Source organism: Homo sapiens, chromosome X (genome assembly GCF_000001405.40).
Source record: "Homo sapiens chromosome X, GRCh38.p14 Primary Assembly".
NCBI classification, from domain to species: Eukaryota; Metazoa; Chordata; class Mammalia; order Primates; family Hominidae; genus Homo; species Homo sapiens.
In genome coordinates this window covers 80,688,261-80,704,372 of record NC_000023.11, presented here as the reverse complement: position 1 = coordinate 80,704,372, position 16,112 = coordinate 80,688,261, and the positions used below count along the sequence as shown (strand labels likewise).

The window sequence follows — 16,112 nt, the reverse complement described above, 5'->3', positions numbered from 1 at the left end:
ACAACATTATTATTCTTGTCATGTGGTATTTTGAGTCCTCATTTTTAACATTTTTAACTTGTAACATGGAAGAGTATGATAAATTGTATAGGACTCTCCCTCCATTCCACTATGTTTTTTGGTGTTTTTTTTAAAGAGATGGGGTCTTATGTTGCCCAGAGTGGAGTGCAGTGGCTATTCACAGGCATGATCATAGCACACTGCAGACTCGAACTGCTAGGCTCAAGCAATACTCCCACCTCAGCCTCCTGGTTGGCTGGGACTACTGGTGTGTACCACTGTGCCTGGCTTACCTTTATGTTTTTATTTCATCCCAATGACAGTTTCTTTTCCCCACTATAGATTCATTTAAATGATTTAAAGACTTGGTGTATGTAGTTATTTTAATTTTAACTTCAAAATTGATTATAGACACATTCTATAGTCTTTTGCTTTAGTAGACAATTATTTTCTTGATTATCACTATTTTATTGGCAAAAACTTATTCTTGCATTTGAATTCACGTGGTAGTCAAGGGACGTATGTAAAAGTTATGGTTTTCAGGTAGTCTATAGTGTCAAGTTATTACTTGTCAGTTAAAATTTAGTAAAGTGATTTTTTATTGGCAGAAAAATTGTATATAATAAAGCAAAATCATTCAAATTTATATACTTTAGGTTTCATTGTAACCTGAAATTTTTAATCTTCTCTACCTACTATTTTTCATACTATTGTTTATGTGTTTTATGTATTGGAGAACTGTGTTTTATACATATACTTTTCGTGTATTTATGTTTTAGAAAGGAGGACTGGTTTCTATAGCAGGTGAGCCTAATGAAGAATGGTTTGCCCCTCAGTGGATCTTGGATACTATACCCCGACGTTCCCCATTTGTCCCACAAATGGGAGATGAGGTAATTATTACCTGTTATAACCTTTTTCTGTGGAGCCTCAAGAGCACTAACTTTAATCAGTCTGAATATATTTATATTCCTAATTCCATTATAATAATATATACAGTGTCTTATCTGCTCTGCTCAATTATATATTTCTTGTGGAAGGGGACTGAACAGTATTAATCTTTGTATCCTTTGTAGGTCCTGGCACAGTAGCTTCAGTCTATTAGATGCTCATTGAATATTGAGATAAATTAATCAGCTTGTGAAGTCATAAAAATAATTGGCTTTATTTTAATCTGAATTGCCACTTAGTAGAATTGAGTGGTATTTTGAGTCCTCATTCATGTTCCAATATTTATTAAAAAAAAACAAAACACGTTCAACCTGATAGAAAGTATACAAGAAGGTATTTACTCCTTTAAATGAGCAGGGGAATGTAGTTTTGCAAACAGGTCTTTCTTTCTGAGTCTGTGATTGATGAGTGTAGCCATATTTATTATTGGCCAGTCAAAAATTAATCAAAATTCTACCTGGTAAAAAACTTTCAGTTTATTATGAAAATTATCGTAACATTGGAACATTAGAACTCTTTTTGGCTTGGATATTGTCTGATATACTAATTTTTTTAATCAATTAAATGTTTTTACACAGTTTTTAATTTAAGAGTGTTAGTAGAAATGTAATATTGTCATTGCAACAGCAGAAGGAACAAAACCTTGCAAGTAGGCTCTAAACATTTTGGGAACAATAAAAGTTTTACCAAACTTTTCTGTAATTGCCTGTTATAGAGATCTTATATCAGAGTAGCTATCAAATAGCCTTACAAATAAATTATTACCTGCTGATTATCTTTAGATATTTTAAGATGTTTCTTTTGATATTTTCATATAGGTATTGGACTTCTGAGTAATGCTTGTTTGCATAGTTATGTTAATAAATATTTTCTGATGAATGCTATACTTAAAAACAGAGAACTTGTAAAATTTTATTGGCATATATCAAATCACTATTTCTTGTAGTTGTTGCCTGTTTTTATTTTCTGGAGGCAGAAGAGGAGTAATGTTTAATTATGTTAGAAAACTTTATAGAACAATATAAGGATCTGTACACTCTAAGACCTAATGAGACTCCTGTCTAAGGACTATTTTTCTCCATTCTTTGGTGGAATTCCTCTTCCTCTATGTTGTTAAACTTACTACATCCTTATATGCTTCAAGACTAATGTGTATGAGGTGAAGACAGTTCTTCAGGTAATGAGGAAGATGTATGTAAACCAGACAATGAATATGTAGAGAATGTTTTTAAAGAAATTATAAAGGCAAACATACACTTTTTATATAATTGATTTCTTAATGGCAACATTACTTTTTACTTCATCTTAATATTAAGCCTTCATTGTCTTGCCTAGATATCCCTACATACAGATCATTGCTTCTTAAAATTATCATTTTCAAGGTCTAATTCAAATACTAACTTTTCCAGGATGTTATCCTTGTTTTTCATTGGCCAGTCCCTCTGTGCTCATGGCTTTTCTACCTAAATTATTTTTCTCTTCTGATATATAATATATTCTACCTTGCATTATAGTTATATATCTACATGAGTTTCCATATCCTAGAGGAAATGGTTTTATGCCTTATCACAGCATCTAGTGCCTACACATAGATGTTCAATGATCAGTATTTGTGGAATTCAGGAATGAATATATAATAAAGGATATCTTAATGACGTGTATTATTGGTTTTTAACCCTTACAATTATTTTATTTACTAATTTTAAACCTTTTTTATTTTCTGCTCAAATTTTTAGCTATTAGAAATTCTGACCTAGTATTGATTGGTAGAGTATGTTAATGTATTTTAGAAATCTCATAATATGGTATTTTTTGTTACTTTCTTCTATTTACTTATCTCTATCACTACTTTTTTTTTTTTTTTTTTTTTTTTTTTGACGAGTCTCGCTCTGTTGCCCAGGCTAGAGTGCAGTGGGGCTATCTCGGCTCACTGCAACCTCTACCTCCTGGGTTCAAAGCGATCCTCCTGCCTCAGTCTCTGGAGTAGCTGGGATTACAGGCGTGCACCACCACGCCCGGTGAATTTTTGTATTTTTAGTAGAGACGGGGTTTCACCATGTTGGCCAGGCTGGTCTCGAACTCCTGACCTCAGGTGATCCACCAATCTCGGCCTCCCAAAGTACTAGGATTACAGGTGTGAGCCACTGTGCCTAGCCTCTATCACTGCTTTTAAACTTGAGGAAAAGAAACTTTTTGTAATAAATATAGAAAATGATAGTAAATGGTGACTTAAAGAGCTGAAGAATTAAGTAATTGAATTCATTTTCCTTCCATAATATGCCAGTTCTGACATGAACTCTTGTAACAGGCAACTTTTAATTTGTCTTGAAATTACTCCATTTAGTAACCTGTGATTTATACTGTTTATATGGAATGTGTAGACTGAATATTAGAATTTTGATAGTTAGAGTGTCAGTTATAATTTGAAGTATAGTACAGTTGTCCTTCGGTATCCACACAGAATTGGCTCTAGGACCCCTTGCAAATAACAGAATCTACAAGGACATTATATAAAAGGCATAGTATTTGCATATAACCTATGTACATCCTCCTATATACTTTAAATTATCTCTATATTACTTATGATACCTAATACAATGTAAATGCTATATTAATTGTTGTTATATGATATTGGTTTTTTATCTGTATTATCATTTATTTATTTATTTATTTATTTATTTTTTGACAGGGAGTTTTGCTCTTATTGCCCAGGCTGGAGTGCAATGTTGCGATCTCGGCTCACTGCAACCTCCGCTTCCCGGGTTCAAGTGATTCTCCTGCGTCAGCCTCCCTAGTAGCTGGGATTACAGGCATGTGTCACCATGCCCAGCTAATTTTTGTATTTTTATTAGAGATGGGGTTTTGCCACATTGGTCAGGCTGGTCTCAAACTCCTGACCTCAGGTGATCCACCTGCCTCAACCTCCCAAAGTGCTGGGATTAAAGGCGTGAGCCACCATGCCCGGCCTAATTGTATTGTTATATATATCAAATATTTTCAATCTGCAGTTGATTGGATTTGTTGATGCAGAAGCTGTGGATATGGAGGGGCACATATACTTTAAAATATGACCAGTTTTGTGTACATTTTCCATGAATCTGCTTCTTCAGCACACTTATGAAGCTGATTGAAGGGAAAGGACTGTGTTTACTGTGTTTATATGATGTGGTACTGAGCACAGGGCTACGTAGGCATGAATACTGAATTAACATCATTTGAAACCTTTATTGTATAAAGTCTTTCAATATTATAATTATTTCTTTCTGCAAACAGAAGAGGATGTTTGTAGGAATGTATATTGGACATACAGAGTTATATAGGATGCTGCTGTTTAATACCTTATGTTTTCTGTTTTAGCTTATCTATTTTAGGCAAGGACATGAAGCTTATGTTCGGGCTGTAAGGAAATCGAAAATATACAGTGTTAATTTACAAAAACAGCCATGGAACAAAATGGATCTCAGGGTAAGTTTGCCAAATTCATAAGCTATGCAATGGAAGTAGCTTTGGAATTAAATTGCTTACCCATGGTTTTTTCCCCTCAGTTTTATGCATATTTCACTGTTGATTGTGTATCCAAGATAAGATGATGATCTATACTCTTGTAGAACTGAATATTATGGATCACATTTTATACGTTTCTCAAAATTTGTATGCTATTTTCTATTGTCTAGTCTATACTAGTCCATAATTAGAGCAAAGCAGGAGTTCCCCTTTGTGGATATTTTCCGTAATCAGCAACTTTTTACCTTCTGGAGCCTCCATAAGCTGAGTGTGTAGACTATAAACACTCTCAAGGTTCTGACAGCTTTGGTATATTTTAAATATGATAAATCACAAGAAGCCCAGAAACTTTTGGTGTTTTGTAAAATAGCTGTTTTGATATATTACCCTTGTAGCTACATATATAATACCCATGTGGCTCCATATTTTATGGAGAATGATTTTGTCAATAAATATTTCATTCATTTGTACCTATATATGTGTATATATATATGCACACATGCACATACAGACAGACATAGGTATACATACACCACCATTTCTACCTAGGTTTATGTGTGTTTCATTTTGGTTTTCTGAATAAGAGACTAAAGGGCCATTTTATGATAGTTTTCCAGGTAAATGAAGAGTTGTGTGATGATTCTTGACAGGAAGGATATAAGAGAGAATATGTATATTTATTTATTTATTTTTTATTTATTTTGCAACGGAGTCTCGCTCTGTTGCCCAGGCTGGAGTGCAGTGGCCCTATCTCGGCTCACTGCAACCTCTGCCTCCTGGGTTCAAGTGATTCTTCTGCCTCAGCCTCCTGAGTAGCTGGGATCGCAGGTACACGCCACCATGCCTAGCTAATTTTTCGTATTTTTATTGGAGACAGGATTTTGCCACATTGACCAGGCTAGTCTCGAAGTCCTGACCTCAGGGTGATCCACCCACCTCGGCCTCCCAAAGTGCTGGGATACAGGCATGAGCCACCGTGCCCAGCTGAGAATATGTATATTTATTAAGATAAAGATTTGATTTAGATGTTTGTAAAACTTTTTATTAATGTCATCAGGTGCTAAAGTAGCTTATCAAGTGAGCTTTACATAATTATCTTCTGGAAGATAGGGACAGCTCCCATCTATTCGTCATCAAGTAAAAGTTGAATCTTTTTTAGAATCAGAGGATTCAATAAAACATGTGATTTCTTACTCTTTTTTTTTTTTTAAGACAGAGTCTCGCTCTGTCACCCAGGCTGGAGTGCAGTAGAGCGATCTCGGCTCACTGCAACCTCCGCCTCCCAGGTTCAAGAAATTCTCCTGCCTCAGCCTCTCGAGTAACTGGGATTACATGCACCCACCACCACGCCTGGCTAATTTTTGCCTTTTTAGTAGAGATGGGGTTTCACCATGTTGGCCAGGCTGGTCTCGAACTCCTGACCTCAGGTGATCCACCCGACTTGGCCTCCAAAAGTGCTGGGATTACAGGAATGAGCTACCTCACCCGGCCAAGTTCTTACTTTTTATCCTAACCTTGTTGTCCTAGGAAATTGTAGGAGCAGCTTATATGTGGTAAAAGAGCTTGGGCTTTGGAATAAGACCTGGATTTCAATTCTAGCTTTGCTATATGCTAATATATAACTTTAAGCAGGACCCTATACCTATGAAGATCAGTTTTGCCATCTGTTAAATGTGATTAATAATCAGTAAATGTGTATGATTATTGTAAGATCATATCCAGAATCTATAAGGAACTTCAATCAACAAGCAAAAAAACAAACAATCTCATTTAAAAATGGCAAAGGACATGAACAGACACTTCTTAAAAGAAAATGTATAAGCGACCAACAAACATATGAAAAAATGCTAAAACATCACTAATCATTAGGGAAATGCAAATCAAAGCCACAAGATACCATCTCACACCAGTCAGAATGGGTATTATTAAAAATTCAAAACAAACAAACAGATGCTTGTGAGGTTGTGGAGAAAGGAGAATGCTTATATACTACTGGTGGGAATGTGAATTAGTTCAGCCACTGCGGAAAGCAATCTGGAGATTTCTCAGGAGACTTAAAGTAGAACTACCCAAATTCCATTACTGGGTATATACCCAAAGGAATATAAATTGTTCTACCATGAAGACACATGCACATGCATGTTCGTCACATCACTATTCACAATAGCAAAGACATGGAATCAATCTAGATGCCCGTCAGTGGTGGACTGGATAAAGAAAATGTACATAGACATCATGGAATACTGTGTACCTATAAAAATTGAGGTCATGGCCTTTACAACAGCATAGATGGAGCTGGAGGCCATTATCGTAAGTAAAACAGCTGAAAAACAGAAAGTCAAATACCACACGCCCTCTCTTACAAATGGGTACTAAACAGTTGGTACAACTGGACATGTAGATGGAAATGATAGACATTGGGGACTCCAAAGGAAGGGAGATTAGGAGGGGGATAGGGGTTAAAAACTTAGCTATTTGTTACAGTGGTTACTATTTGGAGGATGGGTACACTAGAAACTCAAACCCCACCATTATGCAATATATCTCTGTAACAAACCTGCACGTGTACCCCATGAATCTGAAGTAAAACAAAAACAACAAAAAAGATAATGTTGTAGACATTAAAATATATAAGTCTTCACCCCAAACATGTACACGTACATATATACCTGGATGCTTACATACTGTATTTTTGCTAGGGGAGTGATTTTTAACCAGAGCATCATACTGCACTAGGGAGTTTTTCCAAAATAGATATATTACCGAGCTATACCCCAAACAGAATTTGATTCTATAGGTGTAGGATTTCGGATCATTAAATTTGAAGCATTTCCCCAGGTGATGTGGCTGCTCATCCTTGGTTTAGAGCCTTGCACTAAACTACAACCTGCTATTAGGAGTTAAGAGCCATATCTTATTACCTTTAACACTTAGTGTAGTGCCTGGCATTTAGAGAATTTTCAGATAATAAATTGTTCAAGTAATAATGAAATATTATACAAATGTTAAGTAATTATATTGAAAGTAATAATTTATTGGTATTCTCATGAATAGGAGCAAGAGTTTGTTAAGATTGTAGGAATCAAATATGAGGTTGGCCCACCCACACTGTGCTGCTTGAAGCTTGCATTTCTGGACCCAATTTCAGGCAAAATGACTGGAGAATCTTTTTCCATTAAGTGAGTAGTTATCTCTGAGTCTCTGTTTGAGTGTGTGTATTTTAATACCTATTGTATATTTTAGAGTACAGTGCTCAATGGGAGAGAAAACACTATAGCATTCTTTACTACAGGGTTTAGAATTATAAAGACCAGAGTTTAATTCCTAGTTTATTTCTCCGTTTTATTTATATTTGTGTGTGTGTGTGTGTGTGTGTGTGTGTGTGTGTGTGTGTGTGTATTTATGTTATGGATAGTTACATAGATAGGTTCATAAGCAAGTTACTTAACCTCTCTGAATTTATGTCTTCATTTGTAAAATGGAAATGCTAATCTCTTCCTAAAGATTGTTGTGAGGAATCAAAGACAAACCTTTATAATTCCCTAATTGAATGTTTGAAACATGGTGGTTGCTTTTATTTCTGTTAATAATAATAGGAATAATAAGTCAGAGGCTCTTTATGTGAAGTTGAGTTTAAAACGTAAGGAGATTAAAGAACATTAATTCATACTCCTTAATATAAAATACCTCATATTAAGGTTTATAAACCTGTATTGGCATCTTTATATTTTTAAAGTAATATGGCAGTAGGCAGGGCACTCCCAAACAGGTCAGAGAAGGTGATGTTTAAGTAAAGGCATTTCTAGGGACTGTGAGGTTTGCAAACTTTTCTCAATGGGTCTACAATAAACATATATCCTTGGACATTTAGTAACATATATTGTTATATCTCTATATTGATTCATATGTGCTTTATTTTCTGTATAGGTATCATGACATGCCGGATGTCATTGACTTCCTTGTGCTACATCAGTTTTATAATGAAGCCAAAGAAAGGAACTGGCAGATTGGTAAATATAGAATTGTTGTTTAATAACTATTAAGCTTATGTACAGTAAGTAACTTTTTAACTGTGATTTAACAGAAAGAAAGTAGCTTATCATTTAGCTGAAAAAAGCTACCAGAGAAACTAGAAAACTTAAGTTAAAATTTCCTTTTAGTTATTTCTTATGCACATTGTGTGTGGCTTATAATCTCTAAACCTTCTGCAAATACCTACTCTATTAGTATACAAACAGGAATATAAAGAAAATTCTCAAATGTCTGTTGCCCTAAAATAGAGCACTTTACACTTAGGTTCTAAAACACATGATTACTGATTGTGATTTGTTTCCTTTTTTCCTTCCTCCATCCTTGTTTCCCTCCCTGTCACCTTCCCACCCTCTTTTGCTCTTTTACCCTTCTTTCTTTACTTTTTTGATTATAAAAAGCAGTATAGCAATAATGTAAAGGAAAATATTTTATAATTTAAATAAATTTGCTTATAGCTCTATTGTATAACAATACAATACAGAACATAAGGATTTTTAAACTATCAACTTTTTTGCACACTTAATTACTTAGGCCTGAATTTTAAAAATCTAATTGTAGCCATATGTATTAGTTCATTTTCACACTGCTGTAAAGATACTACCTGAGACTGGGTAATTTATAAAGAAAAAATCATTTAATTGATTTCACATTTCCACATGGCTCGGGAGGCCTTAGGACATTTACAATCATGGCAGAAGGCAAAAGGGAAGCAAGACCTTCTTCATATGGCTGCAGGAGACAGAGAGTTAGAAGTGGAAGTGCCACACCTTTAAACCATCAGATCTTGTGAAAACTCACCATCACAAGAACAACATGTGGGAAACTGCCCCCATAATCCAATCAGCTCCCACCAGGTCCCTCCCTGGATGTGAAGGGATTAGACTTCAAGATGAGATTATGGTGGGGACACAGAGCCTAGCCATATCATTCAGCCCCTGGCACCTCCCAAATCTCATGTTCTCATTTCAAAACCAATCAACAGTCCCCCAAAGTCTTAACTCATTCCAGCATTAACTCAAAAGTCCATGTCCAAAGTATCATCTGAGACAAGGCAAGTCACTTCTGCCTATGAACCTGTAAAATCACAAGCAGATTCGTTACTTGCTAGATACAGTGGGGGTACAGGTATTGGATAAATACTCCCATTCCAAATGGGAGAAATTGGCCAAAACAAAGGGACTGAAGGCTCCATGCAAGTCTAAAATCCAGCGGGGCAGTCAAATTTTAAAGCTCCCAAATGATCTCCTTTGACTCCATGTCTCATATCCAGGTCACGCTGATGCAAGAGGTGAGTTCCCATGCTCTTGGGCAGCTCCATCCCTGTGGCTTCGCAGGGTATGTCCCCTTTCCCAGCTGCTTTCACAGGCTGGCGTTGAGTGTCCGCAGCTTTTCCAGGCACACGGCGCACGTTGTCGGTGGATCTGCCATTCTGGGGTCTGGAGGACGGTGACTCTCTTCTCACAACTCTACTAGGCAGTACCCCAGTGGGGGCTCTGTATGGGGGCTCCAACCCCAAATTTCCCTTCTGCACTGCCCTAGCAGAGATTCTCCATGAGGGCTCTGCCCCGGCAGCAGACTTTTGCCTGGATATCCAGGCATTTCCATACATCCTCTGCAATCTAGGTAGAGGTTCCCAAACCTCAATTCTTGACTTCTATGCATCTGTAGGCCCAACACCACATGGAAGCCATCAAGGTTTGGGGCTTACACCCTTTGAAACAACAGCCTGAGCAGTACCTTGGCCCCTTTTAGTCATGGCTGGAGCTGGAGCAGCTGGCAAACAGAACACCAAGTTCCAAGTGTGCGCAGAGCAGGGAGGCAGCCCCAAGAAACCATTTTTTCCTTCTAGGCCCTGGGTCTTGTGATGGGAGGGGCTGCCTTGAAGAGCTCTGACATGCCCTGGAAGACATTTTCCCCCATTTTCTTGGTGACTAACATTTGGCTCCTAGTTACTTATGCAAATTTCTGCAGCTGGCTTGAATTTCTCCTCAGAAAATGGGTTTTTCTTTTTTATCCTATCAGTTATCAGGCTGCAAAAGTTCTGAACTTTAATGCTCTGCTTCACTTTTAAAGATAAGTTCCATTTCCAGACCACATCTTTGTGAATACATAAAACTGAATGCTCTTAACAGCAGCCAAGTCACCCCTTGAATCCTTTGCTGCTTAGAAATGTCTTCTGCCAGATACCCTAAATCATCTCTCTCAAGTTCAAGTTTCCACAGATCTTAGGGCATGGGCAAAATGCTGCCAGTGTCTTTATTATAGCATAGCATGAGTGACCTTTACTCTAGTTCCCAATAAGTTCCTGATCTCTATCTGAGACCACCTCAGCCTAGACTTCATTGTTCATATGGCTATTAGCATTTTGGTCAAAACCATTAAACAAGTCTCTAGGAAGTTCCAGACTTTCCTACATCTTCCTTGATTTACAGCCTGCCTTGAAGATCTGTAATATAAATACTAGTATGAAGAGATTTTTAAAGAAAGCTAAAAGCAAGATAGAAGAATCAACTGCATTTATGTACATATGTAATACAATAAGAAGTGTGCCTAATGATGATGCTAATTAATTGAAAAAAGTTAAATTATGCTTGGTAGTATTTATTTAAGATGTGGTCATATGTAATTTATTTCAGAAAGATTTCTACCACTTGGAAATCAAAATACATAAAGAGGTTAAAATGTAAAATAATCACTTATCCCGAAAACCTAGATGGAAGCTTCTTATAATGCTAGATACAGTACTTCTGTTGTCAACAAAAAGTAGTAATTTAGAGTGGGAACAGAGCTAATATTCTCAAGAGCATCCTTTTAAGAATTTTAAAACATTATAGGTGATAGATTCCGCAGTATAATAGATGACGCCTGGTGGTTTGGGACTGTGGAGAGTCAGCAGCCTTTTCAACCAGAGTATCCTGATAGTTCTTTCCAGTGTTACAGTGTTCAGTAAGTATGTTTATGATCTTTTATGCCTAATATGACATTGTAGTAGTATGTGGACTTTTAATAGCCTCCATCAGGAGTAATGCCCTTTTATCTGACTTATCTAGTCTCACAATACCTGTACCTGTAAAGAAGAAATTTGATGGTAAAATGCTCAGTTCTTCCCTTGTTTTAGTCAAAGCAAAGTTCTTTGTTTTCTTTGACTAAAACAAAGGAATAACTAAACACTTTATTGCTACCTCTTTTGTTGTTTGCATTTTCTATTAACTATTTCTACTTTAGACAAGAATTGCAACTATTTTTTAATGGGAAATATGGAAACTAATTTACTACTTAAAGTAATTGTTATTGCTGGAATATAGCTATGAATATTAGTACTTAGTCTTTTGTTTAGTCGTATGAATTCTAGGCAGAGGTGGTTGCATCATGTTTGGAAGTACTATTTGTTTTCAACATCTACTTTAATTATTCTTGAAAATCCAGAGTTGTAAGATTGCTAATGAATGAATCCTCTCAAGAATGATAGACGAAATGTTTATTCTCTGAGGACTGACTTTTAGTCTCCATATTGACAAAAAGTAGGCTTTCTGCCCTCTAAGTTTCATAGCGATGGACCATGTTTTCTCTATTAGAAGTTTATTGTTATCTGTATGTAACCGGAGTTGTACTTTCAAGACAACTGTATTGCCCTTTTTCAAATTTCACCCCCAAGAAGTCATGTAAAATTGTGGTAGTATATGAAAGGAAGTACTATATGATTAATTTGATTTGCATCTTCTTATTTTTTAATAGCTGGGACAATAATGAGAGAGAAAAGATGAGCCCATGGGATATGGAGCCAATTCCAGAAGGAAGTAAATATGCTTTTAAAAAATGAATTATAATTCTTTTAAAAGTAAAATGGTAATCACATGATATTGGAAAATAATTTTTTCTAATTTTTTTTTTTTTATCTTATACCTAGCTGCCTTTCCAGATGAAGTTGGTGCTGGTGTTCCTGTCTCCCAGGAAGAATTGACTGCTTTGCTATACAAACCCCAGGAAGGAGAGTGGGGGGCTCATTCCAGAGACGAAGAATGTGAACGGGTTATTCAGGGCATCAACCACCTTCTTTCCCTGGGTATGATGAATGTGAAAAAATTTTAGGAGCATGCAAGAGAGCTAGGAAAATCAGCAGAAGTTTTAAGTTCTACAGAAGGATATGCAGTTTCTCACTGTACACTTCAGTTTTAACTCAAGAAGCACAGTGATTCTAGTTTTAATATTAGCAGTTTTATATGCTTGGCCAAAGTAATAACTGATAATTTTTTGTTTAGCAATCTGGGGGATAATAGTGAAGGTAACTGTGTAAGTGTCTTTTTCCTTTTTGAATCACTTTGATTCTCTAGCTATTCCTGAGCCTGACTTTGGATGGGTTTCTTGGTAAGGACAGTGGATGAGTAATGTATTTTACCCACATGAGTAGTTAAATTTGCTAAAACATGTCACTTGAGAAGTTTGGCATTTATCTAGGAAAGACAGAAATCTGAAGTTAAACCCAGTGCTCCTCTAATTTTGTTTTACCTGATTTGAACCAGTGTATCATGCATGATTCATAGATATGATGTCCAAATATAAAGAATAACGTTCTGTTTGTATAATGGAATCCTCATGGTTTTAGAAAAGTAGTATATCACCCTCCCTTCTTGTTTATATATGAATAAATGTTTGTTACCATGAGATGTTAATGTCCTTTATAGCTACCTTATTTGATTTTCATAATTTTGTAGATTTTGCCAGCCCTTTTGCTGTTCCAGTGGATCTCAGTGCCTACCCCTTGTATTGTACTGTAGTTGCTTATCCAACTGACCTCAATACCATCAGGCGGAGACTTGAAAATCGCTTTTACAGGTCTGTTTTTTTTTAATCACTTATTATAAAATTTATAGCTTTATGGCTTTTGCTTTCCTTTTTGAGATCTGCATTTCCATAGTATAACATGATCATCCAAAAGACCCACACCAAAATTTCCTTTAAAAATTTAGAACATTAATTTCCCTTTATTTAGTAGATTCTCACTCTTGGGGATAGAGAAGAAAGGCTGAGAGGAATATATGGGTAGTACAAATGGTGTGTAAAACAAAAACTACATTTAACTTTAGTTTATTAAGGGCAATTTAAGTGGTTTGTGGATTCATCGTTATTAAGGTGCTACAAATTTGGAGCATGTTTAAATCCTCTGTTGGAGAATTTGGTCAGAGTTAATTAGATTTAGTTACCAGCACTGAAATATATACAGGAAAGGAGCCAAGTAATTTTTTTGTTTTGGTTGGGATGAGAGATGATTATGGGAAGGTTGTAGAGGGCATATCTTGGTCCCTCTGTCATCCAAGTCTCCTACTGACGACAGTATTCCATGACTGGTTAATCTGCCTTTGCAATTGAGAACTGGTTGTATTTTTATAATATATTATTTTGATTTAATATTTATATCATAAAAGTAATTAGATAAAAATCTGTCATTTTTTATAATCTGTTTTTTTTTCTTGCTCTTCTTGGCTCTTCCCCTGAAAACTAAACTAAACATTCTTTTGACCTTGTCAAATGACTCTTTACCTATAATGTCCTAGGTCAGTTCTATTTGAAGTTTTGTATATACATTCCAGTGGTTCAGAATCCCTGCTTGTGCTTTAAATACTGTAACTATATCATCTCTTTTTAGTGCTCATCAGTCAAATATATTGAGTTATATGCATATTGGAACACCTTTGACACACTGTGTTTAAGTACATATTTGTTCCATATTGTATATTCCTAAAATATACTTTAAATATATTAGCCAAGGCTAACAGAGTATTTTTTCTTTCACAGGAGAATATCAGCATTAATGTGGGAGGTACGCTATATTGAACATAATGCCAGGACTTTCAATGAGCCAGACAGTCCTATAGTTAAAGCAGCTAAAATTGTAACTGATGTCTTACTTCGATTTATTGGGTAAGAAGCAGTTTTAGCTTCCAGAGAGTCTAACTTAAGGTTTTTAAAAAATTAATTTTAAAAAAATTAATTGAAAAATTGTAAAAATTACTGAAGCTTTTGAAATGACTTGTTTCTTAGGGATCAGAGCTGTACTGATATACTGGATACTTATAATAAAATTAAAGCAGAAGAACGAAACAGTACTGATGCAGAGGAGGTAAGAATCACAGCATGATTAGTAGGAATGAGTTACTTTTCTCTTATTTGAAGTACAGTATTATGTGTAAATGTTGTAATTGGCCATGAACAGCAAAACAGATTTTTGAAATCTGGCTGAATACCAGCGTCTTTTAAAGTGTACTTAGATGGCATATACCAAAAATAAAATAGAGCTACAGGGTTTATTCAGAGACAGGTGGCCAGTCATCATATTTGACACAGTGGATGTAAGTGACGAGAAATCAACACTTTATTTTCCAACATTTAGAAACAAGACAAGTGCTCAATATTTTAAAAGAATGCTTAGTTGATGGAAATTTCAGTAAGGATTTTATTTTCTATATGCTGTATAGAAAATATTAAAGTATTTTAAAGTTTCAGGCTTGAAAGTCTAAATTTTTGGTAGTTTCATGAAATTATTACTCGATTTCCTTTCTGAAAATTTATAAAGATAAATCAGTCTCTTCTGAATGAAATGGAAGTAGTACTCAGCAGACCCTCGTATTCCTGATTTTCCCCACTCATCTATGTTTCTAATTTACACAAAGCCGTATTTGACTGGAGGTTATGATAGAAACAAAAACCAAAATAGAGGTTGGAACAATATTGGAAAGTGATAATTCACAAATCTTTACTGGAAAACAATTCATCCCAGGGATGAGTGACTCACATATGCTAGATTGTGTTGCAGTGGCATGAGATATTTTGCATGTTTATATTATTTATACCGTTAATCTCCAGAATGGTAAATCTCCAATGCTGTTTTTTTTTATTTTTTTCATGAAAATGTGTCTGACTATGAAATATATTATTGCAGTTAAATGTTACTTACATAATAAAGAAAACATGATATACCAATTAGATATTATTATAGTTTCTTAAAACCTAAGAAAAATGTATCACTAATTTTTTTTATATTTTCTTATATATTCCTTATATTTTCTCTGACCTTTCACATAAATATATTTTAGTTTGAAATTTGATGTAGCAGGAATTTCACCTCAGAGTAGCACTATTTGGGTTAAAATAGAAAACTTAAGTAAAAATGTAACTCAACAGCTTTATTTTATTAGAAAGGAGTACCAATATCTCATGAGCTACTTTTTATTTTCTACTACATATTACCCAGTGTTTCACCAGCACTAGTGGTGCTTGGGTCTTGACTCTTCATATTAAAAAATTATCCCTTAGAGAGATACTTAACTGAAATAGATCTCTTTTCTATAGGAAAATATAAATGCATATTATATGAGACCTATTTCTTGAAATGTCAATGGAGTAATCATGAATAATTAATAATTTTATATTAAATAAGCATGTCATATAGAATAAGGTTTTTAAAAAATACTAACACTTAGATACAATTTTAGCAAATACCAACCACTACACTGTTCCCCTCCTTTCCGATTCTTGTTTAAAGAGAAACCTTGTTTAATTCTTCTTCCAGTATATTTTCCAGCTTGTACACTGCATATTGGGAAAGTTTGGTGTGAGTCTCCCTCTAT

The 16,112-nt window shown here is 35.2% G+C and overlaps 1 protein-coding gene across 4 annotated transcripts in view; it reads left to right on the top strand.

Moving 5' to 3' along the window:
* The window catches only part of BRWD3 (bromodomain and WD repeat domain containing 3), a 140,375-nt gene that overhangs the window by 105,505 nt on the left and 18,758 nt on the right, over positions 1-16,112 (top strand). For all 4 annotated transcript variants that reach the window (NM_001441339.1, NM_153252.5, XM_017029384.2 and 1 more), the window contains 10 exons: positions 780-893; positions 4,309-4,416; positions 7,510-7,634; positions 8,383-8,465; positions 11,322-11,433; positions 12,223-12,284; positions 12,395-12,550; positions 13,200-13,320; positions 14,281-14,406; positions 14,527-14,605. In NM_001441339.1, coding sequence (NP_001428268.1) covers positions 780-893; positions 4,309-4,416; positions 7,510-7,634; positions 8,383-8,465; positions 11,322-11,433; positions 12,223-12,284; positions 12,395-12,550; positions 13,200-13,320; positions 14,281-14,406; positions 14,527-14,605 — 1,086 coding nt within the window. The remainder of the gene's footprint in view (positions 1-779; positions 894-4,308; positions 4,417-7,509; positions 7,635-8,382; positions 8,466-11,321; positions 11,434-12,222; positions 12,285-12,394; positions 12,551-13,199; positions 13,321-14,280; positions 14,407-14,526; positions 14,606-16,112) is intronic.